Source organism: Homo sapiens, chromosome 11, assembly GCF_000001405.40.
Source record: "Homo sapiens chromosome 11, GRCh38.p14 Primary Assembly".
In the NCBI taxonomy this organism is placed as follows: domain Eukaryota; kingdom Metazoa; phylum Chordata; class Mammalia; order Primates; family Hominidae; genus Homo; species Homo sapiens.
The window spans coordinates 119093687-119120085 of record NC_000011.10 but is presented as its reverse complement, the minus strand read 5'-3'; the positions used below and the strand labels follow the sequence as shown (position 1 = coordinate 119120085).

Here is a 26399-nt window from a genome sequence, read left to right as displayed (position 1 = left end):
TCTGTCTCAAAACAAAACAAAAAACAAAATAAAACAAAAAACCCATCACTCACTTAGCCCAGTGGCTGAAACTCAGTAAGGGTTCAAGACATACTTGTTAAATAATATACCTTAATAAAGTTGGTTAAGACTGATATTTTATTGCATTGTAGTTTTCTGTATCTTCTAATCTAAAAATAAACCTATATAATTTGTACAATCAGAAAACACATTAAATGTTCAATATATATAAAATAAAATTTAAAATGCCATTAAGATAGTAAAGTCATACTTGTGCATAAATTTTGGTTTTAACAACAGTGAGTTATAACTTGGTCCCTATTTTAAAATAGGGTTTTGCAGGGCGCGGTGGCTCATGCCTGTAATCCCAGCACTTTGGGAGGCCGAGGCGGGCGGATCATGAGGTCAGGAATTCGAAACCAGCCTGGCCAACATGGCGAAACCCCATCTCTACAAAAAATACAAAAATTAGCCAGGTGTGGTGGTGGGTGCCTGTAGTGCCAGCTACTCAGGAGGCTGAGGCAGGAAAATCGCTTGAACCTGAGAGGCAGAGGTTGCAGTGAGCCAAGATCACTCCACTGCACTCCAGCCCGGGCAACAGAGAGAGACTCTGTCTCAAAAAAAAAAAAAAAGCGTTTTAAAAAATGTAATTCAAAAGTAACAAAATATATCTTACCAACTTTATTCATTCAAAAATGCATATAGTAGTACTTCATGAAATGCCATCCTCATTTTAATTCAGATTTACACCACTGAAAATAGCTTTTAGCTTTATTTAGCAATTTTATGAAGAAAAAGTTCATTCACAGAGCTGTGTAAACTCAAACATAGGTTACAGAGCAAAAATTTCAGGATTGCTCTGGGATCCATATATATGTTTCCAAAATTTAAAGCAGTGTCATTCTGTCTAGCATAGTTTACTTCTATCTCAATCTGCTTCTCTTGAAAACAAGCCACAATTTTGGCTGGGTAATTCAGACATATCCTGAGATTTGTTCTTTAAAAGCTGCCACAAAAACTGAAAGCATAATTCATACTCATTAAAAGCTGTGGATCCCTTCTGAAAGTGTGAAATGGATTAAGTTGATGAAAATATGTTTCGTATTTTTTTCATTCATTTAAAAATTCCCTATTTTTGAAACGTGATCAGGCTCTTCTTCACTAAAATATGTGATTCCATGGAACTCTGGGCAGCTCAGTACTGGAAGCTCAATACAGATTCCAGTTACCATCTACTCATTCCCCAGGTCCTGTAGAACTCTGAATACCTGTTCTCCCATCAACAAAAGTTTCTTGTGCAATCACAAGTTCACTGTGTTTGGTTGTCGTGTCATACTGGTAGAAAAACTGTTCCTCTGTGAACCACTAAGAGTTACATTTCTTAGACTGGGGAAACAGCTTGAAAAATCTCTTTGAATTTTCATGACTTAGAATTGAACATTTCACTACATAAAAATCAACCAAATCGATGTGTCCATCAATGGAGGATTGGATAAAGAAAACGTAGTTAATGTAGTGAGTGATAAAGAAAATGCAGTTTATAAACTCCAACTTGACTTTAATAAATTAAATTCCAAGCTGTCACACAGCAATGGACATCATTATCATCGCCCAACACACACACACACAGTGGAATACTACTCAGCCATAAAAAAGAATGAAATCATGTGTTTTCCAGCAACATGGGTGGAACTGGAGGCCATTATCCTCGGTGAAATAACTCAGAAACAAAGTCAAATATGGCATATTCTCATTTATAAGTGGGAGCTAAATAATGGGTATACATGGACATATAGAGTGGAATAAAAGACATCGGAGACTATGAAAGGTGAGAAGGTGGGAGGAGGGTGAGGGTTGAAAAACTACCTATTGGGTATGATGTTCACTATTTGGGCGATGCGCACACTAAAAAAAGCCCAGACTTCACCTCTATGCATGCAATATATGCATGTAAGAAACCTGCACTTGTCCCCCCAAATATATAAAACTAAATTATCTAATTGAAAAAAAAAATCTATACCCTCCATTCTTCCCGGATATCTCATATTTGGTGAGTAGTGTGGACAGGAGCATGGGGAATAGTAACAATTTCCACATGCTATCTACCCAAAGGCATGTGCCCTAAACACCCTGAGATATAGGTAGTCATAGAATGTCAAGGCTGGAAGTGACCTGAATGTTTATCCAGGTCACCCTTATTTTAGATATGAGGAAACTGAGGTCCCCAAAGGAGAAGTTGCCTGCTCAAGATCACTTGGTTTGTCTGTGGCAGACTCAGTTTTCTTGCTTCCTGGTCCTGCATTCTGCCCAATATCCTGTAGCAGCTTACCTGGTTCAAGTCCTGTATAAGATCTCAAGCACGGGAACCAGGGACACAGTTTGCTAGGATCTATCAATCCCTGAAATTTGCCCACATTTCAGAATGAGAGAGCTTTTATTATGTTGAAACACTTCTAAGACTTCCCCCTCCCAGTTTCTTCTGAGGCAACAGTTAACACTCAGCACTTCATTTACTTCTCATCCACAACCAAATGATAGCCATGATGATTGAAGTTCCCATTTTACAGATGAGAAAACTGAGGCACTTAGAGGTTACATAACTTGCCCAAGGTCACACAAGTAATTAGAAGAGCTGGGACTCAAACCCAGGCAGGCAGTCTAGTTACAGGGTCCAAGCTTTGATCTCCATTACATCCTAGAAGGAGCAGCCTGTTCCAGAAAGGGGAATGAAGACTAACCTGTACTAGTTGATTGAGTTTTTTGCTACAATTTCATACTCCAGAGCCTCCTGTCTCTTCCATCCTTTCTCTGCACACCCCTTCTTCCCTGCAGGAACTTCTTAGCAGATCCACAATGTGTGTCATCTACCCAACCTCATTATCCGGGCCCCTGTCTCATCCTCCCACACCATCCATGTCACAGCCTGGCTGCCTACTGCCTTTCAAAGGATAACCAGTTGTCCAGTTTATAAACTCCAATTTGACTTTAATAAATTAAATTCCAAGCCATCACACAGCAATGGACATCATCATCGTCTCCCAACACACAGAGGTGCAGCCTTGCGTGGCTCCATCATCACAGTCTTTAAATAAAGCCCCTAAAGCCATCTCTCTGGGGAAGGCTTCCCACCAGGCTCCCGGCTCCCTCCTTCCCACAGAGCCACTGCTCACAGAGAAGGCATCAAGTACAAAAAACGGTAATAAAGGGGGAGGGAGGGATGAGGAGCAGGAGGGGAGGCAGGAAGGTGGGGAGTACCTGCCCCCCATCCCGGGCCGGCCCTGCTCTCTGTGAGCTGCCAACATTCTCAGAGGCAGACACTGGTGCTGGTCTGAGTGGGGACCTGAGGGAGGTGTGGGAGCCCCATCCCAAAGGGAATTACCCACCCTCCTGGGACAGAAAAGAAGGGTCACCTGGGAGAGATGCCCTCTATCATCTGTTCACGGAGGGTCCTAAGCCACACATATAAATAGAAAAGAGAATAAATAAGGGAAGAAGGGTCAGCTGAAGAGCTGAGCACCCTGGGACTCCGCTCAGGGACCAGGCTCAGCAGGAGGCAAATGCTTCTGGGGAATACCCACACATGCCGGACAGGGCCCTCCTCTCCCTCCCAGCCACCAGTCCCTCGTCCATGTCCTCGGCACCGGGTGCCCACCTCTCATGTGCTTCCCGTTCCAAGTATCCTTCCAACCGGCCCCATGGCCCAGGGTGGACGGGGCTTCCCGGAACCCAGAGGGCTTTCCTGGCCCAGGCACTGGAGATCCAGGAAGGGGTATGGAAGGGGAGGTGGGGAATGGGCTGAGAGAACTCGTGCCCTTTCAGAGCTGGGTCCTCAGAGCTGGGGGCTGGGGTTACCATTGGCCTTGGGTTTGGATTTGAAGGAAAAGCGCTTGATAAGGCGGCGAGAAAAGCTGCCGGCCTTCTTTCGGACACTGGGCGTGGCCGTTGCGTTGGAGAGGTCATCGTGTGATTGGCTCAGGCCAGCTTCCTTCTGCCTAGGCCTCCGGCGGAAGATGAGCTTAGTGCCGCTGCGCAGGAAACTCACTGCAGGGGAAGAGGGGAAGCTGAGGCAGAGAGGGGCACGGGGTGGGGTGAGACGGGGGCAGAGACACGATGGAGAATGGAGGGAAAGAGGATGTGGACAGGATCAGTCCCGTGGCCCAGAAGCCAGGCTTCCTCAGGAAAGAAAGCAGAAACATACTTCTCCATAAGGCTTCGTGAAAAAAAGAAAAAAGAAAACGAAAGCAGAAACAAACATGTGCTTTATCCTTCCTGAGGCAAAAATCGTGGTACTTGTGGGGATCTGTGTACAATCTTAACTCTGCCCGCAAAAGAGATATCACGGAGCTGGCCGCTTTGTGAGGACAAACTGGGATTGGGCCTCTTTCCTATGGGAAGACAAAAGCTACCAGAAGGTACTCCCAAAAGTCTATAAATCATGAAGGGAAAGGTAGGTTGACACTGACTTGTTAACCGAATTCCAGGCTGTGAGCAGGAAGTGGTGCATCTAGAAACTTCAAAGAGGTAAATTCAGAACCAGTATAATGAGCAAGGTGCTCACCCAGCAGGCTTTGGAGGTAGAAACCTCATTATCTCAAGAAGTGATGCAGGCTTAAAAAATAGATAGATAGATCCATGGTTGATAGTCTCACTGGTAGAGGAATGAAGATGTTTTAGGGTGAGCCTCTCATCTTTTAAAGTTAGAAGAACTACCACCACTGGTCACTGCCTGTCTTGCTGCCAGATGGATAATCCAAGGGTAGGATTTCTTATACTCATTGGGGAGAGGGTGCAGATTGAAAGGGAAGAATTTTTTTTTTTTTTTTTTTTTTTTGAGACAGAGTCTCACTCTGTCACCCAGGCTGGAGTGCAGTGTCATGATCTGGGCTCACTGCAACCTCCAACCCCCCAGTTCAAGCGATTCTCCTGCCTCAGCCTCCCAAGTAGCTGGGATTATAGGCGCCTGCCACCACGTCTGGCTAATGTTTGTATTTTTAGTAGAGATGGGGTTTACCCATGTTGGCCAGGCTGGTCTTGAACTCCTGACCTTGTGATCCACCCGCTTTGGCCTCCCAAAGTGCTAGGATTACAGGCATTAACCACCGTGCCCAGCCATGGAAAAAAAAAATTTTTTTTGAGACAGGGTCTCACTCTGTCACCCAGGCTGGAGTGCAGTGGCACAATCACGGCTCACTGCTTCAACCTCCTTGAACCTCAACCTCCCAGGCTCAAGGAATCCTCCCTCCTCAGCCCCCTGAGTAGCTGAGATTACAGGTGTGTGCCACTACGCCCAGCCAATTTATTGTATTTTTAGTAGAGATGGGGTCTCGCCATGTTGCCCAGGCTAGTCTTGAACTCCTGGACTCAGGTAAGCCACCCGCCTTGGCCTCCCAAAGTGCCGGTGTGAGCCACCACACCCTGCCTAGGAATAAATTTTTATAATTTTTTTTTAAAGGGCAGGAAAAATGGCACTTAGACTCAGGAAGAAAGAACAATGGAGGTAAAGGGAAATAATTTGGCATCCCTTCCTATCACAAGCATGTCAGATCTAGGCCAGGAACCAAGGCACCAAGATCCCCCTCTAGGCTAGCTTGGCTGAACTAGGCTGGGAATCCGGCTATCTCTTAGGGGAGGAAGGAGAAGGCACACTGGCTCGAGGTCCCCCAGGTCATGATATGTGTATAAAAGAAGAGATGAGGGGCACCCTGCCAACGTCCCCCTACCTTTGTGATCCTTGAGGCTGCGGGTCTCCAGGGCACCAGTGGACCCCGTTTCCGACTCAATATCATCCACAGATGGCCTCTCAGAAATATCCGAACGGGTTGTCTCGTCTGCTTCCTGGACACTTGTGGGACTAGAGAGGGCATCTAGCGGTCCTGGAGACATGGCTGGTGGGTCTGAGGGAGGTGAAGAGGGGCCTCCGCTGGTCCCTGCATCATCCTGCACTGAGGCTTCCAGGGATGCCGCATAGCCCAGGGATAGCGCCAACTCGTCCTGAGCAATGGGCACCTGGCAGGAGGGACGGGTTTTAATGGGCAGGAGTGACCGACCCATTAGGGCTTTCTCCCCATCCCAGCTCCTCTCCCCAGAGCCCTGTTACCTTGGAAACACCAGAGATGATGAGAGTGCTGCGCTTGGTGGGTGTCTTCTTGGCCACCCGCCCACTGGGCTCTGTCAGCTGGCGAATCGCTGTCTCTGCTACAGGGTCCAAGCCGTTGGAAAGGTGGCTGTCCCCTGCTAGGGGTGCAGAGAATGAATAACCTGACTTCTCCCTGGCTCTTTCTTGGATTGGAACTCCTCCTATCCCACCCAGAGTACTTTTTGATGCTGGGGCACCAGGGCCAACCCACACTCATGCACCCCATTCCCCACTCACGGCTGCTGCTATGGGAGGTATTGCTGGGGCCACTGCTCTCACTCAGCACAGTTGTCGTCTTCTCGGTCACCTCCACCTTGGACGGGGAGCGGGAGGGGGAGTCTGGTGGGTGGGGGAGGGTCAGTGAGCTGGGAGTTGCTTCAGAGTGGCCCCCACCCCTACTGTCTTTGTTGAGATGCAGACTTTGGGTGACTCAGAGGGCAAGAATGATTAAAGGGTGATTAATCACAAGGGTGATTAGGAAGATGCCGTGGGGACTAAAAGACACCCCAGGAGCTAATGGGAGTGTAGGAAAGTGCCATGGGGCCTGCTGAAGGTGTGGGGAGATGCTATGAAAATATGGAGCGGGGACAGAGGGGGTACTGGGGCTCCCTGAAGTTGGGGCAATTCAGTGGGGCCCCTATAATGGCAGAAGTGCCATGGGGGCCCACTGAGTGGGGTAGAAATGCCACAGAGGCCTCTGGGTTTGTTGGAGGACCCCAGGGGGTGCTGGAGGGCTGAGGGTAGCAGGATGGACAATTATAGTCAGCTGGGGCTAAGGACACCTGTGAAAAGCCAGAGGGGAAGCTGGAAGGTAGGAGTGCAACAGTCCTGTATGAGGAGGGGCAGGAGGATCCAGAAGGGTGGCAGAGTGAGAGGAATTGCTGGGGAAATGGCAGGAGGTAAGGGAAAGTTTGGAAGAGACAAAGATTGGGAGGAAGATGTGGTAGGACTGGAATGGAATGTCTGAAAACAGGGGGAGTTGGAATTAAGGCTCTCTCCTCTTTCACTGTCCTGCCTTGGGTCTGCAGTCCCGGGCCCCTGGCTAGAGCTGGGCTCCCAGGCTCCTTCTCTTTACCTAATTTGCCGTCTATACGGGGCCGGGACTGGACAGTGGTGACTGTGGTGACAATGGTGCCATCGGGCATGATGGTCCGGTCAAGCTCAATCTTCTTGGTAGGTGTGATGCTGGGGCGTGGAGTGGAGGAGGTGGGAGTACCCAGGTTCCGGGGAGAGCCCTCCTCATAGTGAAGCTGCCCAGGGGTGGGAGAGAGAAGAGACAGAGCCTCGGAGACTGCCCATCCCCTGTGTCCTCCCACCTACCCCAGGGGTCAGCTTCTCACCTCCACTGCCATGGTGGCTGCTGGTCCCAGGGCTTTCCCTGGCCCTGGGGTGAGTGGGCACAACTGTCTTCGAGACAGTGGTCTGGAGGGGGAGCCCACAGGCAGTGTGGCCTGGCCTAGGAGTTCGGCTGGGGAAAGGGATGGCACTGTGAGCTGGGCCCATGGCCAGACCCCACTCTGTACCCACCCAGGGGTGCCCCTCCCACCCCTCACTTACTGTCTCCACAGCTGCTGCTCCTCAGCACTTTGAGGGTCAGCTCCCGGCTCTGGGGGCCCAGATCCCTGTGGGACAAGAGGAGATGGGGCAGGAAGGAGAAAATTAGCAAGCTGAACCCACACTTGAGTGGATCACAGGCCAGAGGCAGAGAGCTGTGTACATAAATAAAACGGCATAAATGCTCCAATCAGATTCTCCTGGCCTCCAAATTCTCTCTCGTCCCAAGAGAAAGGGACAGGGCCTGAGTGGAAACCATGCTTCTCAGCTATGCATTCAAATCCTCCCTGGTCCTGCTCTTCCTGTCTTGCCAGTCTCTCAGTTGCAAGCCACCCTCTTTCATTTGCTCCAGCTCTTCCCTCTGCCGAGAATACTTTCACACTCTGATGAAATCCTACTCTTGCTCTAAAGTGTGGTTTAAATGTCATCTCCTCCATGAAGCCTACTCTGATCCTTATTCCCTCATGGGAATTAATCTCCCCCCCACCTAGGCACTCTGACGGCACATTACATAAACCTCAACTGGAGCGGTTTTACCATCTTCTTTATGTACACCTGTCTCTGCCTCAAGCTTGTCATTGACCCAGGGGTGGGGGCTGTATCTTGGTCAAGTCTGTATCCCTAAGACCCACGCCAGGGCCTGGCATACAATAGGAGCTCACGCCAAAGGCTACTGAAAACAGAGCTGATTCCTGCAAGGACTGTGCTGGAAAGGTTTGATCCTCTCTGCTCTGGAGCATGGGGTCGGGGCAGGGTTACTCCTTACAGTGCCAGGTCTTCTGTCCACTCCACCTCGGATCCAGCCCTCGCGGGCTTGGTCCACTTCTGCTGCATGGGGTTGTCGAGTTCAGCTACACAGCACAGTTCCTCGGTGCCTGTGATGAACCAGAAGTTAGAAGATGCTCAGATCAGAGATGGGAAGTCACTGCAGAATAAAGAGGCTGTACCCTTGGCAGAGGGGCAGAGAGCATCTGCAACCAACCATAGCCTTGGCAGTCCCGCAGCCACTTCCAGCTCTCACCTTCCAGCTCATTTCCCAAGTGAGATGCCCGAAGCTGCCGTAGGAATAACCGGTTAGGTCTGGGGATGGCTGGCTGAGCCTGGGGCATCATGGGTGGCTTCTCACTGGGTACCTAAGAGCAGAAGAAGGTCCAAAGAGCAAGAATCCTGACATAGCACCCTAGGAACAAGGTGCATGCAAATCTTTTGCTTTGGGTGCCAACTCACCAGGCCTCCTGGGGCAGAGCAAGCCCTGAGGTTGACCATCATGGCTGGCTGGGTGCTGACTATGGCATCCTTGATCAGTTCCTCAATTGTGGAGAGCTCCACTTGTTCTTCACCTCTCTGCAGAGAGAAGAAGGGAACAACAAGGAGGTGGATCCCCCACCTCTGCCTCCCTCCCCGTTCTGCCTCTTCTCTGCCAGCTCTGCCTCCTTACCTCCCTGGCCTGAAGCTTGGGAAGCACCGTTAGGCTGAGATCTGGGCGATCAGTGAAGGCCCAGGATATGAGCAGCCCCTCACCAGGGATTTCCTCCAGGTTGACTTCCAACTACAGACAGGAACAAAGTGACTGGGCTGACTTGCCCCATTTACCCAAGGACTCCTAATTCGAGGACTCTCCCTTCCTGAATTCCATCCCAGAGAGGAAACAAATGGAAGAAGCTGAGCCAATGGAACCGCCCCTGCCCAACTCAGTTTCCCACATCCCCTTCTACCTGTGTTGGTGGCAGTGTCAGAGTGACGTGGTAGGTCTCCATGGAGACGGCAGCGGGGGACTGCTGGGTCACAGAGACTGGGAACCGCACCTCCTCAGCAGAGAGCTGGCAACGCAGCACCTGAGACCGGCGAGGTGGGTCAGATGTGGGGGAAGGGTGCTCACCCTGCTTTGAACTGCCCTGTAATAGTTCAGCAGACCCCTCCCCACTTCCGTTTTCCTAAGGACTTCATGTTTTCAGGATCATAAATCCCTAAAAGAATCAGATAAATGCCAAAGACTCCTCTCCCCAGAAAAATGCATATAAACACACATCCAACATTTTGCACATAACTTCAATGGGATTCTCAGACTTCCTGAAACCAATCCTTAGATCCATAAGGCATTCACAGACTCCAGGTTAAGAACCTCTGGACTAAAGGGAGCCCTTGGGGTCAGTCCTTCTTGGACCCCAAAGAGGGCAGTGCCCATCAGACCCTTACCATGGTATGCTCAGATTGGTCTACGCAGGTCACATGACTGATGCTGGCTCTGGGTGGGAGTTGGGGCACCTCCTCAAAGGCGATTTGGATGGAGCTCTGAGGGAGTAATGTGGGCATTGGATCAGGTCTCTGGAGCTGCCCCCCACAGGGTTGGCCTGCTCAGTTGCTGGCTGGACTCTGCCACTGCGGAGGCCTCAGCTGCAGGCTGGCTTCTGGCCCCTCCTTGGCTCAGGGCTTTAAGACAGGAGGTAGTCCCCTCAAGGCCTGCCTCTCCAGGGGCCTGTAGCTGCTAGGAGCCACTGAGCAATGGGGAGGTAGTCCACCTCAGAGACTAGATCACCTTAAGCTGAAGACCCTGGCTTCCTCCTGGAATACCAAGAGCTTCCTTCTTCTTCTCCCTGCAATCCCTTTCATCCCCTACCCTACCCCCTAAAAAAACAAATAACAAACAAACAAAAAATCCTACATAGAAAAAAGTTAAGGTGCTGGTTGCCACCTATATATAATAGCTGGGCAGAGGGAAAGGGCTAAGCCCCGGTAAAGGTGGTAGAGCCACCTTGTTCAAGATAAGAGCTGCAGAAATGAAGCTAAGCCTTCTTCCAAATAAATAAGATGTGGAGGCTTCAAGAGTATGATGCTTCATATTCTTGGAGATGAAGATGAGCATGGCCTTGGGGATCCGTACCAGGGGGACTGGGAAGAGATACAAGCTCAGAGGACCCAAGAGTCCAGGGGCCTGGCTAATTCCTCAAGGCAGATAGCAGGACGGTATTAGAGAGCAGAAAGCTGCTTAGATCTCAAAAGAGCTGCTCCCTAATTCGTCCACAGTAATGGAAGCAACCTACCGCAGCCCCACCTGGAGAGCAGTGCGGACACAGAATTGAGGAAGGGGCACAGAATTGGCTGGCAACTCTTCCTTGGGTCTTGAGATGGAGGAAACAAATCCATAGGGTTCATTTGCTTGGCAAACCAGGGGAAGCCAACTCCTTTGCTCTGGTAGCTGTCTCATTCAAAGGCTAGGCCAAGGAAGATGGGGAGATGGATGCTTGAAACCTCAATCTCCCCACCCTCTGCAAGGGAGGCCAATGTCCAGTTGAGTCAGCTATCCTGGGGAGTTGCTTCTGACCGAGGGACAAGGTACAGGGAGAGTTGGATGAAGAGGTGGGTTCAAGGTGTAAACTGACAGATGCCATCTGGCTTTTAGCCAGCCAGCTGGACAGAGTAAATAGAGCAATTTCTTGTGGACATTTCTGTTTCCGGCATCTGGGGAACTAGTAAGGTAAAGCCTCCAAACTCATAGTGGCTGGAAATAGAGAACCCTCTGAGCAAGGAGCTGATGGACTGTGAGAGCAAGGAGAGATTGCTGGGTCAGGATGGGAGGGAGCTCCAGAAAAGAGAGACTTCTACCTCCCACCTTATCTCCATCTCATGACCACGCTTCCTGCCCCACTTCCTGGGAGGCCAGATGCCCATGGTGCAATGGGAGGAAGTAGGCTGGACTGGTTTGTGACTGACCCTCAAGGGGCAGTTCCAAGCTCATCTACTGGTAGGGGCACTGTCAATCTGCTCTCCACCTGAACACTCCCCAACCCCCAGTGAACCACAGGCCAGCATGGAGGAGAAGGATGTGTTTGACTGTAGCAGTGAAATTACTGTCGGGTAGGGGGGTGATTCAGGCTCCTTGGGGATCTGCCTGACCACACCAGGGATTTGGGGCATGAAATGTTAAATGGGTGTGGTGGCATGAGAAGCAGGCAAATTCCTTCTGCAGGTGCACCTGTCTCCCATGCCCCAACACAACCAGCACCCAGGCAAGGCGGAAGTGCCCTCAGGCACAGGGATTAGCGTTGCTATGAGAACAGCAACTTGTGCATGGGTTTGGAACCAGAGTACCTTGCCCACAGAAATGGAAGTCTGGGGACCCAGTTGGATTTCTACAACCTCCAGCCTTAGCGGCACCCTTTTCTCTGATCCGGGAGGGGAAGAGAAGCCATAGGGTTCCCCAGTTTATGCCCACCCTCGTCTGGCCTCCTAGCACGAGCAGTCAGTCCCTCCCCTGGAAGGAAAGGCTGAAGGGACCACCCAAGCGCTTGGTCCAACTCACCCCGTTTCTGCAGGCCTGCTCGTTCAGCGCTCGCACCCAAGCCCGCTGCCAGTTCTCCCGGAAAGACTTGAAGGCGAAGAGTGACGCCAGGAGGCCCCGGACTCCTGGCTCCTCGGCGGCGCCAGCCCGAGTCGCCCGCAGCCGCAGCAGCGAGCGCCACACGCCCAGCTCCCGCAGGGAACCCGCGGGTTCCCCGGCTAAGGCGGGTCCCGGGCCCCGGTCCCCGCGGGCCCGCGCCAGCCACAAGCCCCGGGCATATTGCAGCAGCCAGGCGAACACCGTGAGCAGCGAGGCGGCGAAGAGGATCAGCAAGGCCGCCCAGCCCACGTCCCGCTGCCCCCAGCCCGGATCCATGCTCCGCGCGGGCTCCGATCCCGGTCCCGGCTGGGGCTCACCCGCTGCCCCGGGGGAGCATGGCCCGGGCGGGCCGCGGGGAGGAGGTGGGCTCCCCCGGGGCTGGGCGCGCGGGGTCGGGGGCTCTCCGCGGCTGAGTGCCCAGGACTAGTGGGTGCCACAGGGCGAGGAGAGGAGGTCCTCGGGGGTCGCGATGCCGGGGTCTCTGTCTCCGTGGTCCGGGTCTCTCCTAGCTTGGTCAGCAGTCGGACCCGTTAGTCGCCGGCCAGTGCCCGACTCCTCCCACCGCGCGGGCCCCGCCGGACCCTGGAGGGGACTGGTCTGCAGAGACGCTGGGGCTCGCGGGCCGGCACCGGCTCCGGGAGGGCTGCGTGCGCAGAGCTGACACTGACAACACCGCCGGCGCCCCGCCCCCACCCGCCCTTAAAGGAGCCGCACCCGCGCCGGGCGGGGCCAGGACAGCCTGGCGCTCCCTCGCTGGAGGAGGGCGGGAGGGCTAGCAGCGAGCGGAGGAGGTTCCGGGGTTGAAAATAGGCGGGATCTTTGATCACCTCGCCCCATCTTGCAATCGCGGTGCTCCCACACTCAGCTCAAGGCAAGAGTAACTTCACTTACCTAAGATGCTGCCTTTGCTTTCCCCTATGCTTGTTAGATTTCCACAGGTCGGACGCCTGTGAGGTTAAGAAGGAGGTGACCCCTGTGGAAATCACCGCCCCCTTCTCCCAACACCCCCAGACTCAGCGACTTCTAGCTTCCCATTTCCTGGGGGAAGCTAGGCCCAGGGTAAGGAGACGCAGAGCGTCCCTCCCAGATAGAAGTGTCTGGCAGAGGTCCAGCTGATGTCAACAGAGAGAAAGCAGAACCTGAAGCTGGGAGAGGTTGAGAGTAGAACACCGAATTTGAATTCCCCCCACCATCATCACCCTCCTTCCTCTTGGAGCTTGGACCCAGAAACAGCCCCATTAACCTCCTTGCTCGTGTAGGTTTGTTCTGGAGATTCCCAAGCCCAGGCTGTGTGTCTGTTTTTAAAAATAATGTATTTCCATAGTAACAGCTCCTGCCTATGGAGCACGTGTAGAGGGGGTGGTAATGACAAGGGAGCTGGCAATGTAGCACTGGACTATCAATAGATTCAGCCACAAGACCTTGCCACTCTAAGTATGTGATATCCCAACAAGCTCCCAAGAAATGGTGCTGTAGGTACACTGCCCAACCTCTGGCCTCAGAAGCCATCTTTTCCTAGACTCAAGGAGTTGATTCAACCTCTACAGGACTGGGGCTCATCAATGCTTGCTGAGGACAGGGGAAGGAAATACCTGCAAAAGGATTCAAAGGAATCCTGGGGGAATTCACATTCTCCCAAGAGCCCCTTCTTCATACATGTGGGAAGGTCTTTGGCACACAGTCCCTTTCTTAAAGAGGTAGGATGGAAAGGTGTTAAGTATCTTTCTCCCAAACCCAAGTAGTTGTCTGAGGAATGAGCACATGAGAATAAGAGAATAAACAATGCCTTCTGAAGTGTGGGATGGCAGGGCTAGACAGAAACTGACAGGTCAGCAACAGGTTTGTCTGAGCCAGAGGAGGTGGTGGGGTAGCCTGGGCCTCCCTAGATTTCCCTGTAAGGAATGATGGGGAGAGGTGGGGGTGAATGAGGTAACCTCCTGTGGCCCTGCCCATGCATTGTCACTGGACTGCCAAATCAGTGGAGATTCCTAGAGTCTGGGTTTCTAATCTCAAAGGGAGGAGAAGACATGAAATCAAGGGAGGAGAGAACTCAGGGCCAGAACCAGGGATGCAGGAGGAAGCTGTCAGTGGGAAGAGCAGCTAGGGTTTAGGGGAGCAGGTTATGCAGGAAGTTGTCCAGGTAGAAGCTTTCCCTATGAAGACCCTCTTCCCCCAAGAATCCTTCAGGAACCCTCAGACCCCCTAGTGATCTCCATTCTCTGACTTCTTTGATTTATTCCCTCAACTTCTCCACTGAGTGCTTGGTCCTATGCTGCCAGATACTGCTTCACAATTCAGTATCTGAACTGTGAGTCTACCTAGTTACATGAGTCTCCCTAGTTAGTCCTCCCTCTTTTTTTTTTTTTTTTTCTCTTTTCTTGAGACAGAAAGTCACTGTTGCCCAGGCTGGGGTGCAGTAGCGAGATCTTGGCTCACTGCAACCTCCACCTCCCAGGTTTGAGTGATTCTCCTGCCTCAGCCTACCAAGTAGTTGGGACTATAGGCATGCGCCATCATGCCTGGCTAATTTTTGTTATTTTTAGTAGAGACAGGGTTTCACCATGTTGGCCAGGCTGATCTCGAACTCCTGACCTCAGGTGATCCTCCCGCCTCGGCCTCCCAAAGTGCTGGGATTACAGGTGAGAGCCACTGTGCCCAGCCTAGTCCTCCTTCTTTCTTCCATTACTTAGACCTCTAGCACTTACATTCTGCCTTAGAGTCTAGCTGATTGTTTATATGTCTGCTTTTTCCATGCATCAGGAAGCTGCCTAGGGGTGGGAACCATGTCTTAGTCATCTCTTTTCCCTCAAATTCAACCAAGATGCTCCAAATATGCTGAAGTAGACTCCCTGGGGGCAAGCAACTGCAATTATATTAGTTTGTATCCTCCACAGTACTGAAGAGCTTCCTATGCACATAGTAGGGATTAACAAACTTTGTAATTTTAAGAAGTCTAACAGAAAATACTCAAGTATGCTTTGAGAATTTCTATGCCATTTCTGTCTTTTGAAATATCATTCATGCCATACCAGTGGAATGGGAAATCCTGGGGCTTGCTTTTAATTAACAACTTTTTTCTAGACTAAGAGGGGAGAGGTGGGAGGAAAAGGAAAAAGAGTGATTCAGCTGACTGGACAGAGCCACAGATAGAGTCCTGCAAGTATCACAGCCCCAGACTATCCAGAGGGGTCTCATTGTCTTTGTGGCACTATGAAACATTTTTGGGACAGGCTTTGTCTAGCAATCACATTCAGTGGATTGGCCTTGCTCATTGGGAGCCACTCAAGGCTACTTAGAAGAGGTGTGCATCTCAAACACTGTCTGCTCAGTCCAGGGCCACTGACAAGTCAACTGGTCTGTGAATCCTAGGGCCGGCTTCAGCATTCAGGAAAACGCTTTGAACTTTTACCAGGGAAGGCACACAATTTCAAGTGAAGCCAAAAGTCATGTGTTTGTTTCTCCTTCTGATTAGTCTGATCATCAACTGGGACTTTATCATCATGGGAACAAAAATACTCAGATTATCTGACAAGTATCTTAGTAACCATTTTCTGATAGTAACATGTATATGTGGATGATGAATCCTTAGTCTCTCTTGTCTTTGATTACATCCTTCCACCCTCCCCAGGAGGGTGGTGGTAGGGAGGGCTAATGATCTCTGGAGAAGAAAGAGATAAAGCTTCCCAATACCAGGCTGGGAAGGAAGATTTATTAGGATTGGCCTCCTAATAAAAAAGGAAATAGATACAGACTGGCTCTCAGACCTCCAGGGAGTCTCAGTATACTCGTCATCAACAAGATAACTGAATGCTGCCTCCTCTGGGATCCCACAAGCTCCTCCTTTCCACCAGCTTCTGGTGTCTCACTGTCGCTGCCTGTGAAAGGTCCTTCTACTCTTATAATCTACTGAAATGATACTTCTCTTCCTCAAGACCACTTACTCTGGTCACAACTAATTGCTCCCTCCATATGCACCTATTGCCCTCAGTCCTCCTTTCAGCCTCAGCCTCATTATGTGTGATGATGCCTTCCTTGTACACAGATGTCTGTGTTCCTAGCCCCATGGGGACACCCTGTGGAAGAGAAAACACTTGCCTCCCGGGAGTTTCTAGTTTAAAAGGGGCACACGTGCATACACACAACACACACAGAAAAATAATAGCAGTGGGATAAGTACTGAAAATCTGGTGGAATACTAGCAAGTAAATTACGAAAATTTATGTATTTTATACATATCTGGGTTTTTGTTGTTGTTAATTAGAGCCATTTTCAAGTAGAAAAGCCATTTCACATCTGATTTAGTTTGTTTGTTTGTTTGTTTTGAGACAGTTTCCCCTCTGTTGCCCAGGCTGGGATGCAGTGGCATGATCGCGGCTCACTGCAACCTCCTCATCCCAGGTTCAAGCGATCCTCCTGCCTCAGCCTCCTGAGTAGCTGAGATTACAGGCATGTGCCACCACACCCGGCTAATTTTTGTATTTTCAGTAGAGACGGGGTTTCACCGTGTTGGCCAGGCTGGTCTCGAACTCCTGACCTCAAGTGAGCCACCCACCTTCGCCTACCAAAGTGCTGGGATTACAGACGTTAGCCACTGCGCCCGGCCTCACATCTGATTTTGAGGGAAAGAAGAAACTATCTTCGGCTTAAAAACGGTCAACATGACCCTGACTCCTGGAACATGCCATAGAGGGAAGAGTGGACAAAGCGCTAGGCTATTGGAGTCCTTTCCCTAACTCACTGGTGGTGACTTCCTCTCTGACAAATGGAAATCATTTGCCGCCTAAGAGCCTGTCGGGGAATGAAAGGTAATAAAGATGCTGGTGAACTGGCTGGGCGTGGTGGCTCACGCCTGTACTCCCAGCATTTTGGGAGGCCAAGGCGGGCAGATCACCTGAGGTCGGGAGTCCCAAACCAGCCTGACCAACATAGGGAAATCCCGTCTCTACTAAAAATACAAAATTAGCCGGGCGTGGTGGCGCATGCCTGTAATTCCAGCTACTGCCTGTAATCCCAGCTACTCGGGAGGCTGAGGCAGGAGAATCTCTTGAACCTGGGAGGTGGAGGTTTCGGTGAGCCGAGATCGCGCCATTGCACTCCAGCCTGGGCAACAAGAGCGAAACTCTGTCTCAAAAAAAAAAAAAAAAAAAAAAAAAAAAAGCTGGTGAATTGTTGTTTGCAGGGGAACAGGCCAAGCAAAATGCACAGCAACCTGCAGGAGGCCAAGCAAAATGCACAGTGACCTACAGGAAGAAACCTGACTGGGAGTTCCTCAGACTCACAGGAAATCAGTTGTGGGTCTGATTCCTCTCCCTCCTCAGCTCTTTCCAGAGCCTCAGCCTGGAAATCTCCATCTCCTCCTTGTGGGAGCTAGGTACAATGCAGTGATCCACGGCCAAGCTGAAGTCTCGAGTTAAATCCAAGACCTGAGGGTACTCCCAATCCCTCAGTGAAGTGCTGCGCTGGGTTGCCGGGCAACTAACTGCTACAGCTGGGGCAGAAGGTGGGTGGGATGCTGAGAAAAAAATACCAGAATCGAGGACAAGAAAAACAGAGTGGGAGGGGCTTTTCAAGGATCTACGCTTTAGAATTTACACCATCCTTCCAAATCGTAGCTTTGTTTCCGGGAACTGAGTTGTGTTTACCTTGGCTTCCGACTATGTTGGCAACAGGTTTCCTGCAAGAAACAGGCGCGTCTCCACACCCTCGTCCCTCCTCCCCACCCCCTGCCTTTCAATAGCCATCTTCCTGGAGCCGGAGGCATCCCAGATTAAGGGAGAGGTACGGGCCCTTTAAGCTTGACCTATGGAGGCGGACGGAGCTAAAACTGACGTGGAACCGGAATGTGAGCGGTGTCAGACACGTGGTACAAGGAGGCATTCATCTTGGAACCGGGCAATTGGCATTTCCGCTCTGGGTAGTACATCTTTAACATAATGTTAGGGAAGTATCCGTTCTTGGCTGCCTTTCTTTAATTGCGTTTCCAGTACTCTCTCGGTGATTCTACTCTTGAACATAGGATGAAATTTGGAATCACACTTCTCTTCCACTTCCATCCCCACCCTCTAATGCCCATATTAAAAATGGCGGCCGCCGCCTTCCGCAGTAATGGTTGTTCAGCGAACAAGATCCGGGCGGAAACAGTAGATAGGCGGGTGCAGCGGGGCAGAACATAGGTTGCCTTAGAGAGGTTCCCCGGTGTCCCGACGGCGGCTCAAGTCAGAGTTGCTGGGTTTTGCTCAGATTGGTGTGGGAAGAGCCTGCCTGTGGGGAGCGGCCACTCCATACTGCTGAGGCCTCAGGACTGCTGCTCAGCTTGCCCGTTACCTGAAGAGGCGGCGGAGCCGGGCCCCTGACCGGTCACCATGTGGGCCTTCTCGGAATTGCCCATGCCGCTGCTGATCAATTTGATCGTCTCGCTGCTGGGATTTGTGGCCACAGTCACCCTCATCCCGGCCTTCCGGGGCCACTTCATTGCTGCGCGCCTCTGTGGTCAGGACCTCAACAAAACCAGCCGACAGCAGATGTGAGCAGCGGCACACGGGTCCGGGCAGGGGGCAAGGGCTAAGGAAGGAGTGGCTAGGGCAGGGGCGGGAACCGGGGTGCTTGACCACACGTGAAGACTCAGAACTAACCCAGGCAGCCTGGAACTCGGAGAGGTGATGAGCAGAACTTACTCGCATTGGGGAAAGGATGGGTAGGGACCCTTGGGTATATCTGGGACTCTGGCAGTGGTGCTTTCCTCCCTCCGCCCCCCTCACCACTTACCAGAATAAAAAACCGGGAATGAGAAGACCACTTTGGGTTACTGTAACACCTGCACTAGTGAGTGACCACGCCCCCTTTCCTCTTCCCCCTCGCCCCCTTGCTGCTGGGCCACAGCCCAGAATCCCAGGGAGTGATCAGCGGTGCTGTTTTCCTTATCATCCTCTTCTGCTTCATCCCTTTCCCCTTCCTGAACTGCTTTGTGAAGGAGCAGTGTAAGGCATTCCCCCACCATGAAGTAAGTGGGTTCGTGGGGGTGATTGCCTGTGGCTGGGACCTGGGAGGTACCTGAGAGAACTGGGGTTATTTGGGCTTGTGGGGAGGGGCTAAGAAATTATCAGAAAAGACAGGAATTCTTAAAAGGTGGAATGGGAGCAGGCTTGAGTCATGGACCTGCCCGAGCCTCCCCCAGTTTGTGGCCCTGATAGGTGCCCTCCTTGCCATCTGCTGCATGATCTTCCTGGGCTTTGCGGATGATGTACTGAATCTGCGCTGGCGCCATAAGCTGCTGCTACCTACAGCTGCCTCACTACCTCTCCTCATGGTCTATTTCACCAACTTTGGCAACACGACCATTGTGGTGCCCAAGCCCTTCCGCCCGATACTTGGCCTGCATCTGGACTTGGGTAGGTAGTCCTACCACTGCTGCCCCTATGGCACCTACTTCAGGGAACCCTTCCTGGTGCTCCACATTCTCCTCCAAGTGTTCCTTTTTTGTCTCTGTGTCTTCCCAGATCCTTTCTGGTAGCCCTTCATCCTATCGTCCGTCCTCACCACTTTTCTAAAAATTCTTAAATCCTCCTCCCCTAGGTGGCACTACTTCTTTTCCTACCATCTCTCCCCGCAGGAATCCTGTACTATGTCTACATGGGGCTGCTGGCAGTGTTCTGTACCAATGCCATCAATATCCTAGCAGGAATTAACGGCCTAGAGGCTGGCCAGTCACTAGTCATTTCTGCTTCCATCATTGTCTTCAACCTGGTAGAGTTGGAAGGTAGGTGGGATTGGGGGTGGGGAGAGAGAAGTCTGAGTGTTAAAGGTGTGGCCTGATATATGACTTTGGGAAATTCAGGGGAAAAAAGCAATATGCATAGTAATTATAGAAGATAAGGGAAGCTACTTACTTTGCAAATAACAATGCAGATTTATTAAAAGTGAGAAAGAAAAATAGTAGCCCTGTCATTTATAGCTGGATTGGCACTAATAGCTAGGCCATGATCTTCTCCCATTGAATATAAACAGTTTCACAGAACCCCAACGTTACACAGGGTCATTCTGTGACCGTGATGGAGCAAGACTAAAACTAGACCCCTCCCTCTGTAATCATGTTTGAGCACAGGCAAAACCACAAGAACACTGAGCAACCCACAAAATGGCCAAGATCCCCTCTCTCGGCTAACATGAGCGACTGCTGCTGCTCTCCAATAACAACTCAGTTCCTACCACTTCTTTTTTTTTTTTTTTTTTTTTTTTTTGAGACAGGGTCTCCCTCTGTCATGCAGGCTGGAGAGCAGTGGCGCGATCTTAGCTCACTGCATCCTCTGACTCAAACGATCCTCCTGCCCCAGCCTCCCAAGTAGCTGGGGCTACAGGCATGTGCCACCACACCTGGCAAATTTTTGTATTTTTTGTAGAGACAGGGTTTCACCATGTTGCCTAGGCTGGTCTTGAACTCCTGGGCTCAAGTGATCTGCCAGGCCTCCCAAAGTGCTGGGATTACACTCTTGAGCCACTGTGCCCAGCCAGTTCCTACCATTTCTTAAATAAACATTAAAATGCTTGATCATAGAATTACTCTTGCTTTCTTTTCTTTTCTTTTTTTTTTTTTTTTTTTGAGACGGAGTTTTGTTCTTGCCCAGGCTGGAGTACAATGGTGCGATCTCGGCTCACCGCAACCTCCGCCTCCCAGGTTCAAGCGATTCTCCTGCCTCAGCCTCCCTAGTAGCTGGGATTACAGGCATGTGCCACCACGCCCAGCTAATTTTGTATTTCTAGTAGAGACGGGGTTTCTCCATGTTGGTCAGGCTGGTCTCGAACTCCTGACCTCAGGTGATCTGCCTGCTTCAGCCTCCCAAAGTGCTGGGATTACAGGCGTGAGTCACCGCACCCGGCCATGAATTACTCCTGCTTTCTAACAGCACCCAGTCCAGAGCAAAACTACTTTCTTTCACCCTCTCCCAAAATACCCAAAACAAACGCTACTACAAGCCCCTCCTAACACCCTCTTACTGAGACATTCCGTGGTTCCCAATGGTGTGTGGTTTCTGAAGTCTCCCTTTTTACAACAAGTCATTAAACCTAGCTTTGAACTATAGATGTGTTTCTGATGGTCTTTGGCTGATGAACATCAACAAGTGTTTATTAAAGCTAAGTACTTTTTAAACACTATCTTATTTAAATCTTGTAATGGTTTTATGTGGCAGATGTTATAATCAGCCCTGTTTTACAGATGAGAAAACAGGCTTAGAGAAGTTAAATGTGTCATGATCAAGATCAAGGTCACAAAGCTAAGAAGTAAAGTTGGTATCCAAACTTACATCAGAATGGGCTAAACCAAATTTAAGATAGTAACTAGTTTGGAAGGCTGCACGAAAGAGGTGGAATATTGGGAATTGCCTTGGGTGACATAAAAGGAGTATTGAGTTCTTAAAAGTGACTTGGGTGAGGTGGATGATAACAGCTGTAAACAGAACTTAGACAAAAATAGGACCAAGGTTTGCAGAGGAAGTGGGTATTAACTTTTCCTTCTTTCTTCCTTGCTTCCAAAGGTGATTGTCGGGATGATCATGTCTTTTCCCTCTACTTCATGATACCCTTTTTTTTCACCACTTTGGGATTGCTCTACCACAACTGGTAAGTAGGCCTGTGGATAAGGGGACAACTACCTGAACACATGGCAAAGATGGCCCTTATCATAACCCACCTTGTGGTGGTGAAGCTAAACCTGCGCATACCTCTATGGAGTTTTCTGCGTCTTCAGTTGGTCGTATTCTGAAATTTCTCTCTACCCAGTAGTAGTTAGGGATGAGTGCGTGGAGGCCCCAGGAATAGATGAATTCAGGGCCTTGGATCCTGCAGAGTTGCTGCACAACTGGAGTCTCCTCTGAGTCAGAACTAGGGTCAGGGCTAGTCCAGTGCCCATAGGGTGTGATGTGAGAGAAGGGATTGGTAATGCCTCTTGCCACTGGCTCGGATCCTCTTCCCCCACACAGGTACCCATCACGGGTGTTTGTGGGAGATACCTTCTGTTACTTTGCTGGCATGACCTTTGCCGTGGTGGGCATCTTGGGACACTTCAGCAAGACCATGCTACTATTCTTCATGCCCCAGGTGTTCAACTTCCTCTACTCACTGCCTCAGCTCCTGCATATCATCCCCTGCCCTCGCCACCGCATACCCAGGTAGCCGCTTTTTGGCTTGAAATGGACATCATAGCCTTTTCACTTGGGATATCTAATGCCAGCCTATACATTTGCTGTGCAAAGGGAGTGGGCCCAAAGAAGGGCTATTTCCATGTGAGTAGCCCTTTATAACTTACAAAGCACATTTATTTGCATAATCTGCTACAGTGGTTCTGATAACAGTAAGCAGCAGAGCCAGAAATAGATCTCAGGTTGACTCCACATTCAATGCTCTTCCTATTAGCCACAGGGAGGAGGGTTCAAATAGTGGCCCAGTCACATGAAGCTATCTTCCCCCCGCAGACTCAATATCAAGACAGGCAAACTGGAGATGAGCTATTCCAAGTTCAAGACCAAGAGCCTCTCTTTCTTGGGCACCTTTATTTTAAAGGTAACAGGGTAACAAGGAGGTAAGGCCCTAGGCTGCCATCCTGACCTTGAGGAATGGGGAACCTAGTCCTACATCAGATCCAAGGGGAACTTGAAAGCATTAAATAGATCCACATTCCTAAAGCATAGGTATTAGCTGAGGTTCTCTTCACCTCTGGTCCCTCCAGGTGGCAGAGAGCCTCCAGCTGGTGACAGTACACCAGAGTGAGACTGAAGATGGTGAATTCACTGAATGTAACAACATGACCCTCATCAACTTGCTACTTAAAGTCCTTGGGCCCATACATGAGAGAAACCTCACATTGCTCCTGCTGCTGCTGCAGGTGAGGATGGGAATCGAGTTTATACCTCCGTGTCTCCCTTTCTGCGTGATTCTTACTCCAGTCCATTTCTCCTTGCAGATCCTGGGCAGTGCCATCACCTTCTCCATTCGATATCAGCTCGTTCGACTCTTCTATGATGTCTGAGTCCCTTGATCATTGTCCTTTACCTCACAGTCTCTAGGATTCCTGACTCAGGCTGACCTCTCTCTCTGGTCCCAGACTGCCTCCTTGCCCAGGCCTCTCTCACTCTTCATACTCCTCCAGATTTTGTTCTCAGCATTTTCCTTTCTCTGTGATCATTGGCATCCTGGGCGTTTCTTGCCCTCTGCTGACTACTGATTGGATTTTACCTATGGCTTTCTGCAACTTGCTACTCTCTCCCTCTCCATCCCATCTTTGCAGCCTCATAGGGTGGGATACAGCAGCTTTTTTTGCAGTTATCCACACTCACATTTCAGAGTCCTGACTCTCAAGGAACCACTGGTTTTTGGGATAGAACTTGGGCCAGGGCTAGGAACACAGGCTCCACGGTGACATGTCATTTGATTGTAAATTAAGTGTTCTGATTAGTAAGAACTAAGCAGGGGGCCACATGCTCTCAATGGAGACAATAAAGTGTTGTCTTTTTCTTATTGTTTATGTAGGTATATTTCCTATATGGGCATTTTTGGGTAGATTGGGAGGGGTGGTGGGGGTACTTCCTCCAACAGGATGCCTATCTCTCTGCCCCATCAGACCCCGTCTAACAAGAAGTGAACAGAACTGAGACCAAACAGAACATATTGAATAAATATTTAAATCCTGATACTAGAGGTGGCATGGAGGGCCACAAAATTGAAGTTATCCTGTTTCCTGGCATGGGAACAAACTTTCAAAGAGTCACCGGGTGCAGTGGCTCATGCCTGTAATCCCAGCACTTTAGGAGGCTGAGGCAGGAGGATTGCCTGAGCCCAGGAATTCAAGACAGCCTGGGCAACAAAACGAGACTCCGTCTCTACAAAAATAAAATAATTAGCCAAGTGTGGTGGAGCACTTGTAGTACCAGCTACGAGGGAGGTTTAGCAGGGAGGATTCCTTGAACCCAGGAGTTCGAGGCTGCAGTGAGCTGAGATCACACTACTGCACTCCAGCCTGGGTGACAGAGCCAGTGACACCCGGTCTATTAAAAAAAGAAAGAAAGAAAAAAAAGAAAACTTTTAAGGGGTCTAATTTCTTCACTTTTCCATTCTCCCTTTGTCAGGTAGGAGAAGGGAGTAGGGAGTGACTGGACCTGGAAAGGAGGGCTGCAGTAGCTATAATATTGACCCCTTTCCTTTAAAAATCCTACGCCGGCACAGATTTCCCAGACGCTCTCTAGGTGGCCTCAGACTCCACCCCTTTGGTCTTCCGCTTCTGGTTTCCGATTGTAGTGTTTAAATCTCGCGCGCTTTACAAGGATTGGCTACATCAGCGGATAGTTGGCAGTCTGCGTGCTACCCCTCCTCCTCGCCTTTTCTCCCCGGGCAAAAGGTTTTCAAATTCGACCAATCAGCGGGCGCGCTCCCTCAGCCGAGCCGCGACACCCAAGGGTTAACCGCAACCAACCGGAGGCGGGTATTGGAGAAAAGAGCCAATCAGGAGGGCGCAGAGGTGTGTCCTGGGGGCTTATAAAGGCGGCCTCGCGGCGCGCGCGCGACAGCAGTTACACTGCGGCGGGCGTCTGTTCTAGTGTTTGAGCCGTCGTGCTTCACCGGTCTACCTCGCTAGCATGTCGGGCCGCGGCAAGACTGGCGGCAAGGCCCGCGCCAAGGCCAAGTCGCGCTCGTCGCGCGCCGGCCTCCAGTTCCCAGTGGGCCGTGTACACCGGCTGCTGCGGAAGGGCCACTACGCCGAGCGCGTTGGCGCCGGCGCGCCAGTGTACCTGGCGGCAGTGCTGGAGTACCTCACCGCTGAGATCCTGGAGCTGGCGGGCAATGCGGCCCGCGACAACAAGAAGACGCGAATCATCCCCCGCCACCTGCAGCTGGCCATCCGCAACGACGAGGAGCTCAACAAGCTGCTGGGCGGCGTGACGATCGCCCAGGGAGGCGTCCTGCCCAACATCCAGGCCGTGCTGCTGCCCAAGAAGACCAGCGCCACCGTGGGGCCGAAGGCGCCCTCGGGCGGCAAGAAGGCCACCCAGGCCTCCCAGGAGTACTAAGAGGGCCCGCGCCGCGGCCGGCCGCCAGGCCTCCCCATGCCACCACAAAGGCCCTTTTAAGGGCCACCACCGCCCTCATGGAAAGAGCTGAGCCGCTTCAGACTGCGGGGCAAGCGGGCCGCGGCTCCCTTCCCCTCCCCTCCCCTCGCCCGCCTTCGCCGCCCGGCCTCGAGTCCCCGCCCGCCCCCGCTCCCGTCCCGCACCGCCTGCCGCGTCGGCCTCGGGCCCTGCCCTGTCCGCCGTCCGCCCTCCGGTAGGGTTCGGGCCTTCCGGATGCGGCTTGGGCGCTCTTCGGGGACCTCCGTGGCGCGGAAGACCCGAGCCTGCCGGGGGGAGGCCGGCGGCGCCGCACCTGCCCGCCTCGGCGTTCGTGACTCAGCCGCCCCATCCCGAGTCGCTAAGGGGCTGCGGGGAGGCCGCAGCACCTTCTGGAAGACTTGGCCTTCCGCTCTGACGCAGGGCCGAGGTGGGCAGTCCAGGCCGAGAGGCCGGCGGCCCTGAAGGTGAGTGAGGCCCTCGGCAGCTGCAGCCGGGGTGTCTGGTACCCCCCCGGCGTGGTGCTTAGCCCAGGACTTTCAGACGCGGCCGCTGGCCGGGAGGCTTTGGTGGGAGAGACGCGATCGCCGATTTCGGTCTGGCGCCCCTTCTGCGGCCGGGACCCAGGCCTTTCACATCAGCTCTCCCTCCATCTTCATTCATAGGTCTGCGCTGGGGCCGGGACGAAGCACTTGGTAACAGGCACATCTTCCTCCCGAGTGACTGCCTCCTAGGAGGACATTTAGGGGAGGGCAGAGGCCTGCAGTTTGGCTTCACGGCTGGCTATGTGGACAGCAAGAGTCGTTTTCGCGGAAGCCGACTGGCAGCCAGGCCTGTCGGGCCCCCCGACGCCGCCCCATTTCCCTTCCAGCAAACTCAACTCGGCAATCCAAGCACCTAGATACCAGCACAAGTCGGTTAATCCCTGTCTGGACTGAGCCTCCGTTGGCTTCTGAACTGGAATTCTGCAGCTAACCCTTCCACGACTAGAACCTTAGGCATTGGGGAGTTTTAGATGGACTAATTTTATTAAAGGATTGTTTTTTTTTTAAATGGAGCGTTTGTTTTCATTTTGCAAGAGAGTTGTAGAATTAGTGACTTTCTATACTTTCCTGATAATAGGGGTGGGAGGGGCCATGCAATATAAACAGGCTCTACTGTTAACTGAAGGGGCAAACCATAGGAATTTAAGATTGTGGCTCTGTTTCTTGGTGTTCCTGGGAGACAATTTATTCTGTGT

At 51.4% G+C, this 26399-nt stretch overlaps 3 protein-coding genes across 21 annotated transcripts, besides 18 other annotated features; 2 read left to right on the top strand and 1 right to left on the bottom strand.

Annotated features, from left to right (window-relative positions):
• Positions 1-1541: 1541 nt before the first annotated feature.
• C2CD2L (C2CD2 like) lies at positions 1542-17837 on the bottom strand. Of its 12 annotated transcripts, XM_047427937.1 has the most exons (16): positions 17711-17837; positions 12960-13015; positions 11991-12711; positions 9887-9982; positions 9406-9525; positions 9129-9239; positions 8918-9034; positions 8712-8823; positions 8457-8565; positions 7694-7758; positions 7477-7604; positions 7212-7386; positions 6374-6475; positions 6098-6234; positions 5721-6006; positions 1542-4041 (listed from the first exon to the last, which is right to left on the bottom strand). In XM_047427937.1, exons 3-16 carry the CDS (start codon positions 12342-12344, stop codon positions 3830-3832), a joined length of 2124 nt encoding a protein of 707 aa, XP_047283893.1. In that variant the 5' UTR covers positions 12345-12711; positions 12960-13015; positions 17711-17837; the 3' UTR covers positions 1542-3829. The 12 variants fall into 12 exon arrangements, with proteins under 12 accessions (XP_047283893.1, NP_001369542.1, NP_001369541.1 ...); NM_001382613.1 differs by lacking the exon at positions 17711-17837 and having other exon boundaries at positions 6098-6231; positions 12960-13336; NM_001382612.1 differs by lacking the exons at positions 12960-13015; positions 17711-17837 and having other exon boundaries at positions 1542-4061; positions 11991-12742.
• Positions 12108-12387: a silencer, noted in NCBI's record as "silent region_3969". NCBI's record gives its function as "represses an Ori minimal core promoter by ATAC-STARR-seq in GM12878 lymphoblastoid cells {active_cell/tissue: GM12878}" and the evidence as "EXISTENCE:reporter gene assay evidence [ECO:0000049][PMID:35858748]".
• Positions 12458-12907: a silencer, noted in NCBI's record as "silent region_3968". NCBI's record gives its function as "represses an Ori minimal core promoter by ATAC-STARR-seq in GM12878 lymphoblastoid cells {active_cell/tissue: GM12878}" and the evidence as "EXISTENCE:reporter gene assay evidence [ECO:0000049][PMID:35858748]".
• Positions 16965-17677: an enhancer, noted in NCBI's record as "H3K27ac hESC enhancer chr11:118973119-118973831 (GRCh37/hg19 assembly coordinates)". NCBI's record gives its function as "activates a minimal SCP1, AML or CMV promoter by ChIP-STARR-seq in primed H9 embryonic stem cells {active_cell/tissue: H9 hESC(primed)}" and the evidence as "EXISTENCE:reporter gene assay evidence [ECO:0000049][PMID:30033119]".
• Positions 16965-19105: a biological region, named in NCBI's record as "BRD4-independent group 4 enhancer GRCh37_chr11:118972216-118973415".
• Positions 17381-18580: an enhancer, noted in NCBI's record as "BRD4-independent group 4 enhancer chr11:118972216-118973415 (GRCh37/hg19 assembly coordinates)". NCBI's record gives its function as "activates an origin of replication core promoter dependent on BRD2, P300/CBP, MED14 and CDK7 cofactors, and independent of BRD4, by STARR-seq in HCT116 cells {active_cell/tissue: HCT116}" and the evidence as "EXISTENCE:reporter gene assay evidence [ECO:0000049][PMID:35650434]".
• Positions 17889-18198: an enhancer, noted in NCBI's record as "active region_5625". NCBI's record gives its function as "activates an Ori minimal core promoter by ATAC-STARR-seq in GM12878 lymphoblastoid cells {active_cell/tissue: GM12878}" and the evidence as "EXISTENCE:reporter gene assay evidence [ECO:0000049][PMID:35858748]".
• DPAGT1 (dolichyl-phosphate N-acetylglucosaminephosphotransferase 1) lies at positions 18233-26212 on the top strand. Of its 8 annotated transcripts, XM_047426508.1 has the most exons (10): positions 18233-18591; positions 18948-19068; positions 19243-19456; positions 19678-19824; positions 21599-21683; positions 22043-22231; positions 22535-22622; positions 22789-22944; positions 23023-25626; positions 25825-26212. In XM_047426508.1, the coding sequence occupies exons 1-9, from the start codon at positions 18431-18433 to the stop codon at positions 23086-23088; spliced, it is 1227 nt and encodes a 408-aa protein (XP_047282464.1). In that variant the 5' UTR covers positions 18233-18430; the 3' UTR covers positions 23089-25626; positions 25825-26212. The 8 variants fall into 8 exon arrangements, with proteins under 8 accessions (XP_047282464.1, NP_001373.2, XP_005271479.1 ...); NM_001382.4 differs by lacking the exon at positions 25825-26212 and having other exon boundaries at positions 23023-23576; XM_005271422.4 differs by lacking the exon at positions 25825-26212 and having other exon boundaries at positions 22789-23576.
• Positions 18392-19105: an enhancer, noted in NCBI's record as "H3K27ac-H3K4me1 hESC enhancer chr11:118971691-118972404 (GRCh37/hg19 assembly coordinates)". NCBI's record gives its function as "activates a minimal SCP1, AML or CMV promoter by ChIP-STARR-seq in primed H9 embryonic stem cells {active_cell/tissue: H9 hESC(primed)}" and the evidence as "EXISTENCE:reporter gene assay evidence [ECO:0000049][PMID:30033119]".
• Positions 23438-23999: an enhancer, noted in NCBI's record as "H3K27ac hESC enhancer chr11:118966797-118967358 (GRCh37/hg19 assembly coordinates)". NCBI's record gives its function as "activates a minimal SCP1, AML or CMV promoter by ChIP-STARR-seq in primed H9 embryonic stem cells {active_cell/tissue: H9 hESC(primed)}" and the evidence as "EXISTENCE:reporter gene assay evidence [ECO:0000049][PMID:30033119]".
• Positions 24000-24563: an enhancer, noted in NCBI's record as "NANOG-H3K27ac-H3K4me1 hESC enhancer chr11:118966233-118966796 (GRCh37/hg19 assembly coordinates)". NCBI's record gives its function as "activates a minimal SCP1, AML or CMV promoter by ChIP-STARR-seq in primed H9 embryonic stem cells {active_cell/tissue: H9 hESC(primed)}" and the evidence as "EXISTENCE:reporter gene assay evidence [ECO:0000049][PMID:30033119]".
• Positions 24025-24134: an enhancer, noted in NCBI's record as "active region_5624". NCBI's record gives its function as "activates an Ori minimal core promoter by ATAC-STARR-seq in GM12878 lymphoblastoid cells {active_cell/tissue: GM12878}" and the evidence as "EXISTENCE:reporter gene assay evidence [ECO:0000049][PMID:35858748]".
• Positions 24435-24534: a silencer, noted in NCBI's record as "silent region_3967". NCBI's record gives its function as "represses an Ori minimal core promoter by ATAC-STARR-seq in GM12878 lymphoblastoid cells {active_cell/tissue: GM12878}" and the evidence as "EXISTENCE:reporter gene assay evidence [ECO:0000049][PMID:35858748]".
• Positions 24564-25127: an enhancer, noted in NCBI's record as "NANOG-H3K27ac-H3K4me1 hESC enhancer chr11:118965669-118966232 (GRCh37/hg19 assembly coordinates)". NCBI's record gives its function as "activates a minimal SCP1, AML or CMV promoter by ChIP-STARR-seq in naive H9 embryonic stem cells {active_cell/tissue: H9 hESC(naive)}" and the evidence as "EXISTENCE:reporter gene assay evidence [ECO:0000049][PMID:30033119]".
• H2AX (H2A.X variant histone) lies at positions 24621-26212 on the top strand. The gene has a single exon (NM_002105.3). The coding sequence runs from the start codon at positions 24692-24694 to the stop codon at positions 25121-25123; it is 432 nt and encodes a 143-aa protein (NP_002096.1). The 5' UTR covers positions 24621-24691; the 3' UTR covers positions 25124-26212.
• Positions 24685-25114: an enhancer, noted in NCBI's record as "active region_5623". NCBI's record gives its function as "activates an Ori minimal core promoter by ATAC-STARR-seq in GM12878 lymphoblastoid cells {active_cell/tissue: GM12878}" and the evidence as "EXISTENCE:reporter gene assay evidence [ECO:0000049][PMID:35858748]".
• Positions 25128-25691: an enhancer, noted in NCBI's record as "NANOG-H3K27ac-H3K4me1 hESC enhancer chr11:118965105-118965668 (GRCh37/hg19 assembly coordinates)". NCBI's record gives its function as "activates a minimal SCP1, AML or CMV promoter by ChIP-STARR-seq in primed H9 embryonic stem cells {active_cell/tissue: H9 hESC(primed)}" and the evidence as "EXISTENCE:reporter gene assay evidence [ECO:0000049][PMID:30033119]".
• Positions 25128-25824: a biological region, named in NCBI's record as "NANOG-H3K27ac-H3K4me1 hESC enhancer GRCh37_chr11:118965105-118965668".
• Positions 25235-25374: a silencer, noted in NCBI's record as "silent region_3966". NCBI's record gives its function as "represses an Ori minimal core promoter by ATAC-STARR-seq in GM12878 lymphoblastoid cells {active_cell/tissue: GM12878}" and the evidence as "EXISTENCE:reporter gene assay evidence [ECO:0000049][PMID:35858748]".
• Positions 25385-25514: a silencer, noted in NCBI's record as "silent region_3965". NCBI's record gives its function as "represses an Ori minimal core promoter by ATAC-STARR-seq in GM12878 lymphoblastoid cells {active_cell/tissue: GM12878}" and the evidence as "EXISTENCE:reporter gene assay evidence [ECO:0000049][PMID:35858748]".
• Positions 25605-25824: an enhancer, noted in NCBI's record as "active region_5622". NCBI's record gives its function as "activates an Ori minimal core promoter by ATAC-STARR-seq in GM12878 lymphoblastoid cells {active_cell/tissue: GM12878}" and the evidence as "EXISTENCE:reporter gene assay evidence [ECO:0000049][PMID:35858748]".

What these genes read in the sequence shown, in the direction of transcription:
- C2CD2L (XM_047427937.1), bottom strand. Translation starts at nt 12,344, where the DNA reads ATGGATCCGGGCTGGGGGCAGCGGGACGTGGGCTGGGCGGCCTTGCTG. An exon ending in TGGACAGAAGACCTGGCACT is followed by an intron (nt 7,759 to 8,456) that starts GTAAGGAGTAAC and finishes CTTGTCCCACAG; the next exon opens with GGATCTGGGCCCCCAGAGCC. An exon ending in GAGCAGCAGCTGTGGAGACA is followed by an intron (nt 7,605 to 7,693) that starts GTAAGTGAGGGG and finishes CCCTTTCCCCAG; the next exon opens with CCGAACTCCTAGGCCAGGCC.
- DPAGT1 (XM_005271422.4), top strand. Translation starts at nt 18,431, where the DNA reads ATGTGGGCCTTCTCGGAATTGCCCATGCCGCTGCTGATCAATTTGATC. An exon ending in AGGCATTCCCCCACCATGAA is followed by an intron (nt 19,069 to 19,242) that starts GTAAGTGGGTTC and finishes AGCCTCCCCCAG; the next exon opens with TTTGTGGCCCTGATAGGTGC. An exon ending in TGGCCTGCATCTGGACTTGG is followed by an intron (nt 19,457 to 19,677) that starts GTAGGTAGTCCT and finishes CTCTCCCCGCAG; the next exon opens with GAATCCTGTACTATGTCTAC.
- H2AX (NM_002105.3), top strand. Translation starts at nt 24,692, where the DNA reads ATGTCGGGCCGCGGCAAGACTGGCGGCAAGGCCCGCGCCAAGGCCAAG.